At 33.6% G+C, this 15,621-nt stretch overlaps 1 protein-coding gene across 2 annotated transcripts; it reads right to left on the reverse strand.

Moving 5' to 3' along the window:
• Window positions 1–1,751: 1,751 nt before the first annotated feature.
• Window positions 1,752–14,608, reverse strand: DEFB110 (defensin beta 110). 2 transcript variants are annotated; one of them, NM_001037728.2, is made up of 2 exons: window positions 14,495–14,595; window positions 1,752–1,885 (listed from the first exon to the last, which is right to left on the reverse strand). In NM_001037728.2, exons 1-2 carry the CDS (start codon window positions 14,547–14,549, stop codon window positions 1,752–1,754), a joined length of 189 nt encoding a protein of 62 aa, NP_001032817.1. In that variant the 5' UTR covers window positions 14,550–14,595. The 2 variants fall into 2 exon arrangements, with proteins under 2 accessions (NP_001032817.1, NP_001032586.1); NM_001037497.2 differs by lacking the exon at window positions 1,752–1,885 and adding an exon at window positions 11,457–11,739 and having other exon boundaries at window positions 14,495–14,608.
• Between the last annotated feature and the right edge of the window lie 1,013 nt (window positions 14,609–15,621).

The raw sequence follows: 15,621 nt of genomic DNA on the forward strand, positions 1-15,621 counted from the left end.
GCCTCTCTGGGGCTTATTAAGAATAAAAAGAGTTCTATGCTTGGTTAAATAGTGTTATCATCAAAGGGCAAGTAGTAAGAAAGATTATTGTACTTTCACAAAAACAGTAAGATTTTTCTGTAGAGCTGTCTATGCAGACATTTATTGCTTGTCTTGATTAGATGGAACCTTATATCTCTGCATCTATGTACAAAAATAACTTAAATATTTCAGTTAGAGTAACCTAGACAATTATAAGCACATGGTGCATGTCACAACATCAATAATATCTTGTTAAACTAAATAACATCACCCCATCTCTGACCTCCACAGCACTACTGCTGGAAACAAAAAAGCCATCCTTCCTTAGTGAGGATTTTGGGGGTAAATAATATTGTCCCCGGGGTGCCCAAGAAAGTCCTCATTTTTGCTACTACACAATCTCTGCTTTTCCTGTATCTTCATCTTTCCTAGGATTACTGTAACATTTCCCGTTTTCCATATGAACATCAGCTGCACAGCCATGAGAGCTCTTTCTGAAAATTAAATCACTCCTACAAATATTTCTAACGTTATCCTCTTAGGTAAAACTAACTCAGCTAGATTTCATGATGGATCTTAGAAACATGAGCTATTCTGAGTTATGAGTCAGGTTTACTCATCAGCTAACCAAGCTTTGTTACGCAAAACTCTCCATAGTTATGGGATTCTAACTCTTGCCCCAACCAATTTGAAATTTCCTTCATTAGACACATTCTCTGAGGGTGTAAAATTGAGTTGGCCAGACACCAGCCCTACCCTGCTGAAACAAAGGTACCTATTCCTGAGTTTCCTTATGAGATTTTCTTTGAAAAAAGAATCACATGGCTAAAAGGGGCTCTATATCTCAGATCTTGTTATTTATCCTTTTGCCGTGCTATGAATAGTGCTTAATTACCCTGCAGAGAGAGCATTGTTAAATTGTATCATTTCAAAACCACTGTAATTGGTTAAATGTATGCAAGAACACATCAGACAGGTCAAAATTGGTGGCTGTCATGTTTGTAAGAACCACATTTTCTGTTAAAGAAGAGTAGATGCCTTAGAGGGATTTGGGTGTGGAAACCAGGATATATGAAAATAACCATAATCCTCATAGTAAATCTGGCAATAAGGTCACATATACATATTTAGAGAGGGAGCAGAATAACTCAGATAAGTAATATGAATGTCTCAGAGTCAAAGTGGAAATAATGAGATTATAAACATAATTAGAGTCTGTTTCCTTGTTTCGATAATGTGTTCATCCATTTGAAATACAAAAATCCATCATTCTCAGAAAACTATCTCAAGGACAAAAAAACCAAACACCACATGTCCTCACTCATAGGTGGGAATTGAACAATGAGAACACATGGACACAGGAAGGGAAACATCACACACTGGGGACTGTTGTGGGGTTGGGGGAGCGGGGAGGGGTAGCATTAGGAGATATACCTAATGCTAAATGACGAGGTAAGGGTGCAGCACACCAACATGGCACATGTATACATATGTAACAAACCTGCCCATTGTGCACATGTACCCTAAAACTTAAAGTATAAAAAAAGAGAAATACAAAAATCCCCAAGGAATAAGTAGAGACTAAATTCATTATATGTAAATAGATATATTTAGAATTTAAAAGTGTATATTTTCATTAAATGTTGCAAACATTTTTTTACCTACTCTTGAGTGAAAAACATGCATCTCTGTTCCAGACTTGATCCTCAATAGTACTTCTTTTCCAGAGTTTATACGCAGCACTGACTTCTCCATTTAATGCAGTATCCATAATCATACTCAACATCATCACAAAACGTTTTACATATTCCTCTCACTTTTTCGCATCTTTCAAATCTATACTTTGGTTCAAAATTGCTTCTGGCTGCAATCAAGAAAAATATCTAAAGTTATTAGTCTATTATTGATTTGTGGGTTTTCTTGCTAAAGAAAGACAAAAACTGTTCCAGTTATGAGATCATGTGTGTGCAAGTTGGAGACAATGGAACGTCAAGTTGTTTTGTAGCAGAATTTATGAATCATTTCAGAAAATGACTGAGCTACTAACATTATACTTGTACAAAATGTCTATGTCCTTATCTTGCAGCTCACATCCATACTAAATGTCAGCTGGCTCAGTCTACAGTAACAACGAGAAAGTGACACACAATTTGGTACTTAATTATATGTATTTTTGTCAGACATTTGTTGTGATACTTTGTTATTGCAGCCAAAATATCAGCCCTTCTATAATAGTTATAATTTATTTTGATTCTTTATCTCTTTCCTATTTGAACATAGTGGTCACACAAATAGTAATCATAGAGAAACTAGAGAAGACTTCTAATGTACTAACTTCACTGATAGGGCAACTGATCGAGAAAACTCAAAACTAAAGTACTTTAGATCTACATAGAGAAACATAATTTTGTCATACACTGCCTATCTAGCAAAAAGTGGAGCCTCACATTAGTATTCTATTATAGTTTCTTGTGAACCATCTAAGACAATGAAAAGAAAGATGTTCTGAGATTCCAAAATCACAGTTTTATATTCATACATTAAACTATAGTAAAGGGAGGTAAATTATTTTGTTACTTTAAAGTTTTATTGTTCCTAGTGATACAACTGTACTCTGAAAATGCCTTTAGAGTAGAAAAGAGACTTTGGAGTCAGGCATATTTTTATTTTTCAATTTTATCAATGTACTTACCTATCTTTGGTCAGTCATTCTACCTATCTGGATGATATAATATAATCAACATAATTGTCAGAAATATATTTTGAGTATTAAATGTTGTTATGTGTGCATATATGTGTCAGGAAAAAATGAGGCAAAATAATTTTGTTAAAATTTAGAGAATGAATTGAATTGAATTCAGATTTAAATTATGTAATATCTGTTAATAGAACCTAATTGTCTGCATAGAATCGAATTGGAATTTAGAAAAATGTTTCATTTCAAATCAAAATGGTAGGCATTTATTTTAGTACCTAGTATTCACCAGGCATTAGGTTCCGAAGCAGAGAAAAACTAGAGAAGATCTCTAAAGCACTTACTTATTGCCCTTAATGAAGTTGGTAGAAAATAATTAAACGTAAGATGGAAGAGACTGTCAGGTGGATTTTAACATGTTAATATATATATATATATAGACATACATAGACATATATATAGACATATATATGACATGTAAATATATATATTTGACATGTAAATTATATATTTTTGATGTATATATATATTTTTTTAGTGAATGGTAAACTAATTTATAATGACAGAATCCCTACCTTTGGTGAATTTTAGTGAAATCTGAAGTCATTTCAGAGACATGTTTGATATAATTTAAAGTCAGGAAGACAATGATGCATAATTGCATATACTTTTTGTAACTGTTGCTAGAATAGAAACTTTTTAAGCCAATCAACATTCCTGAGCCATTATATTTTGTCAACTCTAAAACCACCAAAGTCTATGGTGGTTTTTAAGATATATTCAAATTAGAAAAAAGTATACACATAGAAATAATAGTAATATTTAAAATGTACTAATTTTGTTCTGACTTTCTAATTATTTTAAAGAATAAGAATGTTTTGAGTTATGAGGAAATCTATAGAACCATATAAAAACAAAAAGCATGCATTGTAAAATTGGTTCTATTGCTTATAATTTATTTGCAAATTATGGCTCACTATAGAATCAAAGGTTTGCCATGTGTAAATTATGAATGAAAATAACATCCCTTTGTATTGTTATGAAAATTGATACGTATCAATTTATAATACATATAGATAAATATTGATATATATATATCAATATATAAAAACAATTTTAAGGTGTTGAATGCTATACAAATGTCATCCATAAGTGCATGAGTATTTATGTGATATGAAACTGGGTGATACATACCACATAAAAACAAATTGTTTGGAGGAAAGATGCATAGTATCTCTTTCACTCACTTATATTTCCGCACATTTTGTACATCACTGGAGAAATTGAGCCCATGATAACTATTTTTCATAAAAAGAGACATTCAAATGCTAGTTTGGGGCCTTAGTCAGGAGAATATATTCCAGAAGGTTTCTGGGAGTCTCATCAAGAGTGAGGTACCACAAATAGAGTGGAGATATGCTGTGGACATCAACACAATCCTGCATACACACAGATGGGGACAAATCTGTTCGAAAGCTAGAGCTTAAAAGCGCAGTGGTCTCCATGACTCAATGTTAGTTTTTCCAAATGGTATGCGGAGTTTTTCACTCTCCCAAGGGAAGTGTCTGGCATATATCTCTCCACCTCCTCACAAATAACATCTCTGAGGGTGACTGCTTCACCTACCTCATGATGCTCCTGGAAATGTCATCCATAAGTGCAGAGTTGAAAGTAGAGGGAGGCAGTGTTGAAAGTAAAAAGAGTTATGTTTTGGAAGATATTTGCTCTTGCTGGATAGAAGTTGAAGTCAAGGCAGAAGCAAGGCCGTGGGTCAGTTGAAAGTTTGAAAAGGTATGATCTTTCAAAATCAGATAGAATTAAGTTTCATGACTGGATATTTTATTTGTCATTTTGCTATATAGCACAAATGATTTAGATCACTGGATTTCAGTTTCCTTATTAAATTGAGGTTTTATTGAAATTTCAAAAGATATAATGAGATAAAATATGCAGGTTGCTCTTATAGTGCTAAAAATTAATAAGCCTTCAAAGTCAGGTTATTCTCATTTCCTTTGTCTTTATTTGCCTTTTGGATTTCACACCAAAACCTTATAAAGCCTTACCCTAAGTGGAGCACTGTTACTCACTGTTTATGCCCTGCTATCACATTGTTACTAGTGTTTAATTCCTGCTATGGCTTTTTGCTATAGTTAAACCACAAAATTCTCGTCTTAAAGTTACAGTAGGCCAGGCCCACTATATACCTCATTCACTGATTTATTTCTGCACATAGGAAAATGCTTGAAACAAATTACTCAATAAATAAGATAAATAACTGAAAAAAAAGAGCGAGTGAATGCATATGTTATTACAGATAGGGACCTAATTCATATTATATAATAAAAAACTCTATGTTTTATTACATGTTATTCATCAGTTATTTCCTGTCAACTTAGCAAGTGACTTAGGCCCTATATTTGCAGTTTCCTTAAGTGAAAAATGCATTTAGTAATACTTCAGAGGGTTGTGTGGCAATCAAATGAGGTAATACATAAGGAAAAATTGTTTGGCCCATAATTTTATGAAGTAAGTTTTCATTGTCACTGTAAATGAGTTATTTATAGATTTATGGCAGATTAAAATAACCTTTTCTTAATTTACATATTTTTCTCTACTTTTACTGTTAAATGAAGAGAATGCTCTTTTTGTGATTCATACAACACACATTTAGTTAGCAAATATGTTGCACTTGGTCCTGTGATAGGTGGGGACAAAGATAAATAAAATATTTAAGCTCTTCACCTTCAAAAGACAACTATTATTTGTTGGGAGATGATGACATAGATGAGAAAAAAAATGCATCACTTTTAAAGGCAATTCTGAGATATAAGCAAAATGTCCTTGCATCACAAAATAAAGAGTTGTAAACTCTTCCTGGAATAGTCTATTTTTACTATTACTATTTTAACTGCTACTACCACTGCCACTATTAATAGCTATGTTTTATTAAGTGTTCACTAGGTTTCAGATTCTTTTCTAAGCCAGTTATATTCATTTTTGGATTTATTACTCCAATAACTCTTCCCATTTCATACATAAAGATAGTTGAATTCAACTCTTCCTAAGGTTTCAGAGGGAGTAGGAGAGCAAGTAGCAAACAAAGCTAGGTTTGTTGGACTCAAAAGCAATATATATGCTTCATTGCTTCACTGAGGAGATGACAGGTGGCTGGATCTTTAAAAGATAAAAGCATATTTTCCTGAAATTGTGGAGAAGGTCTTACAAGCAAAAAGATGTATCCTAAACATAGATACTATGTTTTGAAGAATGTGTGATCTATGCAGAATGGTATGACCTTTTAGCACAATAGAAATTATATGGATGTGAACTTTAGAAAATCAAACTGTGCACAGGTGGCAAAAGGCCCTACCAAGCTAAGGAGTTGAATATTATCATGAATGGAGTGGTAAAACTGATGATATTTTAAGCATCTTTTCAATTTTTTTTCTCTTTTAAGGGAGGAAATAGAGAAATTTTTGTAGCAGGAAATCTATGTCAAAGTTTATTAAAACAGTCTAAATAAGAAATGATGAATAAGATAATTAAGTTAATGAAACTTGAAAATAGAGAGGAGAAAGTGAACCTAGAAGATATTTCTGAATGAGACATAGCCCAATAGATAAGTTTTGGATTTGCAGGGAAAGGAACCTGGGACATAGAGAAGCAATGACCAGAAGTGTTTTAGCTTCTAAGACTGCGTGACTGATTACGAAATGACAATGTTTTGGCCTTTAGGATGTATGTTTGATATTGAAACAGAATAAAAGACATGGAACAGATTTTAGCCCTTGCGAGTAATATGATTTCGTTCTGGACAAATTATGATTAAGGAATTTGGAGGCTATCCAGTAGGTTCGGTAAGTAGTAATAAATACTGTTTTGTGGTTTAAGACGGAGGTTGAGAAAAAGACTTGATAGGAGAAGTCATTGGCATTAACAAGATAATATAGAGAAAGCACATCAAAATAAGAGGAAAAGGGATTCAGAGACAACACATTGGAGGCCATTGACATTTAGAAGACTATCAAAATAGATAATTCAATTAATAATTGTAAAATAGCAATCGATTCTAGCATGTGTTCAGAAGTCCAGCAAGATAAATAATTAAAATAAACCTTTGAGTTTGCTTTAGGAAAACATATATAACATGAGCAAGAAGAGTTTCAGTTAATTGGTGTGAGTGAATTTATGGTGGGAAGAGTGTAAAAGAGTTAATGAAGTGGAGACTATGGATCTAAGATTCTTTTCAAGAAATTCGATGAAGAAGAGAATAAGGCAGATTAGAAAGTGGCTTGAAGAAAAATTAAGAACAAAATAAGGGAGGATTTTTGTAAGATGAAAGAGACTTGAGAAAATTTGTGTTTACTAATTAGAACCATATAAGGTTGGTAAAATTTTTAAGAATTTTGACTTACAAAATGGCAAAGTCATATGTGTTCAAACATATAAGAAGAAATGAAATATTCAACAAATGACGGGAAAAAGATGCTGGAAATAGGACAGTTGTGAAGAATACCTACAGCCTACTCAACTTACTCCTTGAAAACACCTTTACAAATTCTCAGCTCTCCTCGCAATTTCAAAACATCCTTCCTGTCTTCACTCTCAGCTAATGATCTTGCTCCCTTCAATTCAATGATCCAATTGAAGATTCCTGAGACTCTCCACAGACTTTCAGCACCAAATTAACCTGCCAATCAGCAACTGCATCTATGTATTCTACCCCTCCTGCTTATGAATGAAGAAAGCATCCCCATGCTCTAATGAAGGGCTAGTCCCTCAATCTCTGCATTAGATGTCATCCTGTCTTGCCAACTCAAAAGATTACTGTCTCCACTCTCATTTTCTGTCTCTTCTCTTAACCACTTGCTAAATCTATTTGATATGACAAACTCTACATGTCCAAAATTGGATCAATCGTCCAACCAAAATTTGTTACACCTAATATCCTTCCCATTTTAGTCAATGGCACAGCTCAATCTTTCCAATTGCTCAGACAAGAAATCTTGGAGTCATTATTGACCCCTCTGTCTGCCATAGCCAAAATTTAATCCCTCATGAAATCTAGCTAGCTCTACATTTAACAGATCCAGAATTCTACATCCATTCCTCATTGTTTGTATTATTATGGACTTAGCTTCTATAATTTACCACCTATATTATTTACTACTTATATTATTTTAATAACTTCGAGAGACCTTTACAATATTCAAATTATGTCTCTCCCCTGGCTAAAACCCTTTGAATTGCTCTCAGAATAAAAGTCAAGATCTTTTCTAGCTCCTAAAAATCCCTGGGTAATCAATTTGTCAAGATATTTTCTCTCCAATTTCCTCTCCCAGGACTCACCTCCTCAGTTACTCTTTTCCAGCAATTCTTTCCTCCCAGGTGTTCCCCACACATTCCAGGTATGCTCTTATGAACACTTTTTTCAGCCTTTACAATAGGGCTCTATGACAAATCATGTTTAAAATTACTATAGCCCAGGATTGTGGGCTACTACACTCTACTTTGTTTCCTTTTCTCTAACACTTATTGCCTTGTAATATAATAGATAATTTGCTTATTTCTATTATTTACTGTTTATATTTGTATCCACTCACTATACTATGAGCTCCATAAAACCAGACAACATTGTTAGTTTTGTTTTTTTATGTGTCCCAGTTATATTGTACTCTGACACATAGTAGCTGTTCAATAGATATTTATTGAATTGGTAAATAAATGAGGGAGAATATATTGAATGTAGTTTAACCTGTTTATTATCCATATTACAAATTGACATTGATCTTTTTGGAAGAATATTCCATGCTTTATTCATTTGTGAACTCTATCAAATTGAATATTACTTAAAAATCAGTTTGTAGTCAATCAATATCAGTTCCTTAAGCCAGGAGCTATAATTTTTCAATCTCCAAATCCAAAACCCATGACATTAAGCCTGGGAAGAAGTAATCCACTTATGAAAAGTTGCCTGAATAAGTACATTGCTAATTGGAATTAGATTTTGTTCTTGCCCAAGGATATTGAGGTAAAATAAATACTGATATAGGTTGGGTTTGAATACATGATATCAGGTAGGAGTCTAATTTCTTTCTTCCTAGTTCACGTGAGAATTTGACGGTGATAAATCTAATTTCAATATAATGCTTTTAATTGATTCATATGGGTATTGAACTACCAAATAACAACAAAAATTTCCATCACTTAGTGGCATCTATTTTTATCAGAGTCACTGCTCAAGACTCACAAGAAACTAAATATGAACGAAAATACATAGTGTCATGAAAATTTATATTGTGGGCCATAGGAGGGAAAAATATAAAACTTAAGTTTTTTAGAACGAATTAGTTTAACATTATCTAGTTCTTTTGTAAGTTCATACAATAAAAATTACAATGTATCAGCAAGAAAATCACCAGAAATATTTCCATTTTTAAGCATTTTTTTGCCTTCCTTTTGTTAATAAATTACAAACTTAGACAAATGTAAATTCTGGGGGCAGAGTAATTAGTAACACCTTTATCTTTTTAAGGAAGCAGGCTGAAGAACTTCATCAAAAGGGTTTCTAGAGTTTTCAGTCTTTTTTTCACGCAGAAAACACTTAAAAGATTTCCTCAGGAAAAAAAAAATATTAATTTTGAGGTTGATGCACGTAGGTTCACATTCTCCTTCAATTTTCTTAAATTTGTCCCTTGAGCTGAAGGCAGAGGCTGGTGGCTTAAATGTATTGAACACAAGTAAAGGCCACCTTAGAAATTTAGATGGTTTTCGTGCTCTCTGTCAAGCACTGAAAGATACAGGGTACACCAGGAGTTTTAGCACAGCCTAGATTTTGTGCAGAGACGCCTCACATGTTTTTTAGAAAATCTCTCATCTTCTTGGTGGGTCCTAACAAACTCAACTCTTATTTTCCCCATATTAATAGTATATTAGGCCTCTCAATTCTGATTTAGATGTCTTGATGGAGAGAGGGCTCAGTCTCTTCTTAGGTAAAATAAATAAAAATCAAACTTTCATAACTTTCATTTTAAACATTTATTTTTACTAATCTTTTTCTTGACGTAGCTAATATATTCATTATCCAAAAGTTAGGCCAATTTTTCTTTCTGGAGCCAGCAATATATCACATCTAGCCCATATGTAATATATAAAAAATTTAAATAGATAACTATTTCTCATAAAACACAGAAAATGTAATTGGCCACCTGAAAATCTCACTGATTTTTTTATTGTTTCCATTTTCATTTTTAAATTTTTGTGAGAATGGGTGCTTGACTTTATAAATCAGTAGTTCTCAGCCAAGTGTAAATTTGCCCCCTCCCGCAAAGAGGATATTTGGCAATATAGGTAGACATTTTTGATTATCACAATTGGGAGAAAGTGTGCTATTCGCATCTAGTGGGTAGGAGTTAAGGATGCTGAAAAACATATAACGAGCAGAATAGCTCCCACAACAAAGATTACCTGGACCAAAATATCAATAGTGTCAAGGTTGAGAAACCCTGTTATAAATAACTATTGTAAAGATACTTTTGAAGATATTTACATTGCAAGAAAACACACTGAACAATCAAAGACTATGTAAATTTTATCTGAGTGGAGAAAAAAAAATTTCCCCATTCATGGCTTGTTGTAGATAATGCTTAGTATAAGCATACTTAAATCTCATATCTGCATTTGAAGAATAGAATGGATCCACAGAGAGGCCATAATAAAAATATCAAGAGAGTAGGAAGCCCCTGGAATTTTTTGATTTACCATCTCCTTTTGAGTCTAAGTCTGACCTATATGTACTGTTTAATACATTTTATTTTTCTTTAGTTAATTTCCCAAAATATTGGTTAATTTTATTTTGAGGGGTATGAAGAGAGGATTCTATTTTATTATGATGTTGTGGTATTGACAATGTTTCTTAAGAATTTTGAATTAATATGGATTGTTAAATTGTATTCCTAAACTCATAAAATAATATAATTAGCTCTTCTAAATGGAAAACAAATGGTACAGATGCATCACTGACATGTTCTAGTGAGGAATACTGTGGCTCCTCAGAGGAAGCAGTAGAGGAACTGAGGCAGAGTGAAATTGAAAAGTGAAGGTTATTGCTGCTTCCTTTTGTCATGGATCTCCTCAGACATAGTCATCTCTCAGGACTGAATAGCTGCATTAAACTATTAGTCATAATTTTTGACTTCTTTGGTCTAAATTTTCAGTTATTTTCTCCTCTTCTTTCTGAAATTATTCTCCTTTCTTTTTACTACCTCTCATTTCTTGATACACATTTATCTTTACAAAATAATAAATATGAGTAGAAATTGGAGCTGGTTGTGATTCTTCTCTGGTCTTCCATTCTTATACTCATGATCCTTTCACTTCAGCTCTGTCTCTCTCACAATAAAGATCTGCCCTCTCAATGTCCAGTCTCCCAAGCCCAGTGGATTTATATATTTACGTGGGGGTAATCTGTGGAACAGTATCTAATAAAATAACAGCGCATTTCCACTGGAAGCTTGTATTTTAGAAATATGCTTACCCAATTCTTTGACCTAGGGTTTCCCACAACCTTACTTATGGCAACTAACACAAGGCACATAAAAGTTGTGGAACTTGTGGAACATGAAGCACTGAAAACTTGAGGAACTTGCATAAAATAAGTCCTGCTACTTCTGGTACCAACAAATCAGGAGAAAAGTGTAATGGAAAGGCACCAGACATGAGCGTGACATATGATCACTTCTGAATGGTTCAACATTAATTTTTATTTAGTTCTTGTGTATTATAGAGACACACACGCCTTGAAGGATGTGCTGGGAAAACTTAATAACGCTGGTCTCTCTTCTTGGAGCTTGTGACTCTTTTCTTCTGTCATCGTTACTGCTGCAAGCAGCAATGAGTTCCAGGTCTTATGCAGTAAGCAATCCTAATTTCATTTTCATGACACTGATTTTTACATTGACCATTACCTATTCTGCACTCTCTCCTCAAGTCCAAGCTACCATACTCAGGATATTTCTTTTTGGCTGTAAGAAGGGAAGAATGACTAAAATTAGCCATCTAGCTATGACACATCCATGTTTTAAAAGGAGAAAGTCCATGAAGCAAAAGATTATAGAGTGAAAATGTCCACCTACCTATGGAGGAAAGTTTAAGTGAATTTACTGTCCCTTGGTACAAGCTACATTCTAGAAATAAAAAGGGTCTTGGACTTAAGTTAGGTGTTTCCACTTTCTGTCTTACAAGAAACTGGGCAGTGACCCAAGGATGGTTCCCTAAATCAATGGAAAAAAAGTGACCATAATTTATCTTTTGGTCAGACTCTCTCTCTGCAATCATCTAATTGCATTTGAGCTGCCTGTTCTCTGCTCTCACTAACATTATTTAGACTGAATGTTGTGCTTTATGAATTCTTCTTCAAGTGATTTTCACTGTAGCTTGATTTTGCTTCTCTAAAATGTCAAGAGCTAGGCAACGCTAGTGAATTTGTCTAAATTCCTGCAACTCCCCTGAATATTTGGGGTTTATTTCCCAAAGAAATCATCTAACTCAGACATGTGTCTAATAACAACATTGATAAAGAAAAAAAAAGTGGAGCCATTGTTAACCATTACATGATTTCTGAAATTACCAGTGATACCTTTTTTTTTCTTTCACAAAAAAGTTTCTAAAATAATAACTTACAAACAATTTCTGTCAATTACTGTGTGTACTATTAAACCTTTTGACTAGGAATCAATAAACTATTGTCAGGGAGCCAAATCCACCCTGCCACCTATTTTTGGAAGTAATTTTAGTGGCACGCAGACACACCCATTTGCTAACACATTGTCTATAACTGCTTTTGCATTAAAATAATGCAGTTGAGATCATAGGGTTCATAAAACCTACAATATTGGTTGTCTCACTTATTTCTAGAAAAAGTGTGTTAACTCCTACTCTGGCTTTATATTTTCTTATCAATCATGAAAGAATGGGTGAGGGATTTGTAGCTGGGGTCACAAGAAGACATGTCCAGGAGAGCAAAACTGCAACTAAAATTTGCACATTATAAGAAACACAAAATTTGACACAATACAAAAATAACTTTGTAATAGTCAAAGCTGTAAGAAAAGATATGTTTTTTTTTTAGCTTAAAGATGGACTCTCACTAGAAGTTTCTTATTTAGAATTGAATATATTTAGGGGGTTTGAGGACATTGGTTTGATTGGTTATGTGATCTATTCCAAGTCAATTTTTTTAAGTTTATATTTTAAATTGTACCAAGTCAAAATTTTTTTATTTTATATTTTAAATTGTACCCTGGCCGATTCGTTTTCAGAAGTCATTTGTTTTGTAGCCTTTTTTTTTTGTATACACATCAAATTCTTGACCAAAGGACAGATTTAATATTTTCACATATGAAAACAAATAAATTATGCCACTGTTTCCTGCTATTAATTATTGCTTGGTCTTCTCAAAGGCCAGGCCTTTTGGCCTAGGCAGTCTGTCTGCAGTTCCAACAGCTGACACCTGATGGTGAGTAGTAATACCTGTTAGCTAATACATAGACTCAGAGCTACATTATCTATGTCATTGGTATAATGGCTATAAAACCAAGTCCTACTATTAATATTGGCTTTCTTCTCAATGTAACCAAAGCAATTCAGAGTATGAAGCAACTTAAAGAAACAAAAGCATAGAAGAGCATCTAGTTAATCTGCACAATTTAAATATTCACTTCTAAAGATCATTACTTATTCTACATTTTCTGAGGAGTTATTATTATCAAACCCATATGTGATTACCCGTGACAGACACCTGAATTATACTCACTTTTGGCAAAAGTTCTGTCATGTTTGGCACTGTTGTCCATGAATGCACCTTGGACTGACCCCACCCCTTCTCTTATTCATTCTTTGTCTTATTTCACCTTTCTAAAACATTATTGTCTTCTTTCTCCTCATTCTGACCTCTACATGTGTTCTCCAGTTTGTGTCCTTGGATTGCTAATCTCCTTTGCAAGCATTCATCTCCTCATTCAAATAGTATCAATTAAATATACTCCCTGTCAATTGGATGCCAAGCTCAAGGGCATGGTGTCTCACTCTAAGCAATATTGATCTTTTGAATAGGACAATTCTTTGCTCTAAGGGGCTGTTCCATGCATTGTAGGTTATTTAGCAGCATCCTGGGTTCTATCTACAACTGGTACTGTGCCAGTAGTACAAGTTGTGATGAGCTAAAAGGTCTCTAGACGTTGCCTGATGTTCCCTTGAGCACAAATTCACTCCTCTCTGAGAACCACTGGTCTAGTGATACTTCGATATTTCAATAATTATTATTTCTGCCTTCAAATACATTGTTCAAGTCCAATCTGTCTGAAGTCTCTGATCATTACTTTCAACAAAGTAAAATCTCTCTCCATTTCTGTCTCACATCACTTTTTGTTATGATATTATTTTAGATTCACAGAAGAGTTGCAAAGTTGGTGGAAGCCAGCTTCCACTTATGTTATATATTGCATAAACTTGGTAATGTTAATTAAGATTAACGAATTAATGTTGATGTAATAGTATTTACTAAGCTATTCAGATTTTGCCAGTTTTCATACTTGTTATTTTTGTCTGTTTTTCACTATTGTCTTTATTATCTGTTCTGGAGTCCAATCTAAAATACCACATTACATTTTTGTGAAATGATGTTTTAATCCCTATGTTATTATCATATTTTTTATCAAGAAACAACTTATGTCTTCTCAAATTTGTTAGTATAAATCCCCACAAATATTTGCATATTACCTGGTAAAATTGTGACCCAAAAGTGCAGAATAAAGAAAAAAAGTTGAATCTTCATGGTAGAGAGTTTCTTAAAAAAAGGGGGCAACAGACCTCCTTTTTCAAGTCAGTTGTTTTGAAATAAGGAAACAGAGATCCCTTTTATTTGTGGATTCTCCTGGGAAGTACTTTTAACCACTGAGGCTTATCAAGAGCAAGAACATTTGTATGCTTGGTTGAATAGTGCCACCCTCAAAGAACATGAACTCAAAAAGTATTATTAAATTTTTCTCATAAAAGTAAAACCTGCTGTGTAACCTTAACTAGACTTTCATGAAAACAACACAGTTTTTAAGATATTTTATTTATAGGGGATATGTGTTTGGATTGCTAAATGTTATAGTAATCATCTCCTCTATTCTATGTTATATGTAATATTAAGTATTCTAATGCCTTAGTATAAAATTGTTGAATGCCTGAATCATAAGATTTTAGAGAAAAAGTTTCCATTGAGATCAGTTTTGTTTTGCTGATAAAACAATGAGAACCAGGGAGATTAAATAACTTTATTTCAATTAATATAATATGCAATTATTTAAATAATCAGTAAATTCTGGATTCACTAAAAATGTGAGAAATATTCTATATGTCTTTTTTTTTTTTTTTTTTTTTTGAGATGGAGTCTGGCTCTGTCACCCAGGCTGGAGTGCAGTAGCACCATCTCAGCTCACTGCAACCTCTGCCTTCCAGGTTCAGGTGATTCTCCTGCCTCAGTCTCCTGAGTAGCTGGGATTACCGGTGCCTGCCACCACGCCTGACTAATTTTTGTATTTTTAAAAGAGATAGAGTTTCACCATGTTGGTCAGGCTGGTCTCAAACTCCTGACCTCATGATCCACCCGCCTCGGCTTCCCAAAGTGCTGGGATTACAGTCATGAGCCACCATGCCCGGCCAAGTCTTTGTATGATTCATAAATTTTCTATAGTCATCTGATTTCAAAATTTCAGGTTCAATGTTTTAATTCTGTTTATGGAACTGAAAATTTCATATCTGATCTAAATTGCATGCTTGCAAAAACTATTATTTTGGATATGTGAGAAAGAGCTGGAAGTTTTGCCCAGTACTCAGAAGCTGATGCTATAAAGAAAAAC

This window comes from Homo sapiens, chromosome 6, assembly GCF_000001405.40.
Source record: "Homo sapiens chromosome 6, GRCh38.p14 Primary Assembly".
Taxonomy (NCBI): Eukaryota; Metazoa; Chordata; class Mammalia; order Primates; family Hominidae; genus Homo; species Homo sapiens.

Excerpts from the sequence above, each read along its gene's own strand:
- DEFB110 (NM_001037497.2), bottom strand. The coding sequence starts at position 14,549 with ATGAAGATTCAACTTTTTTTCTTTATTCTGCACTTTTGGGTCACAATT. Across the intron at positions 11,740-14,494 it reads TTGGGTCACAATTTTACCAG|CCAAAAAGAAATATCCTGAG; the intron begins GTAATATGCAAA and ends CCCTTCTTACAG.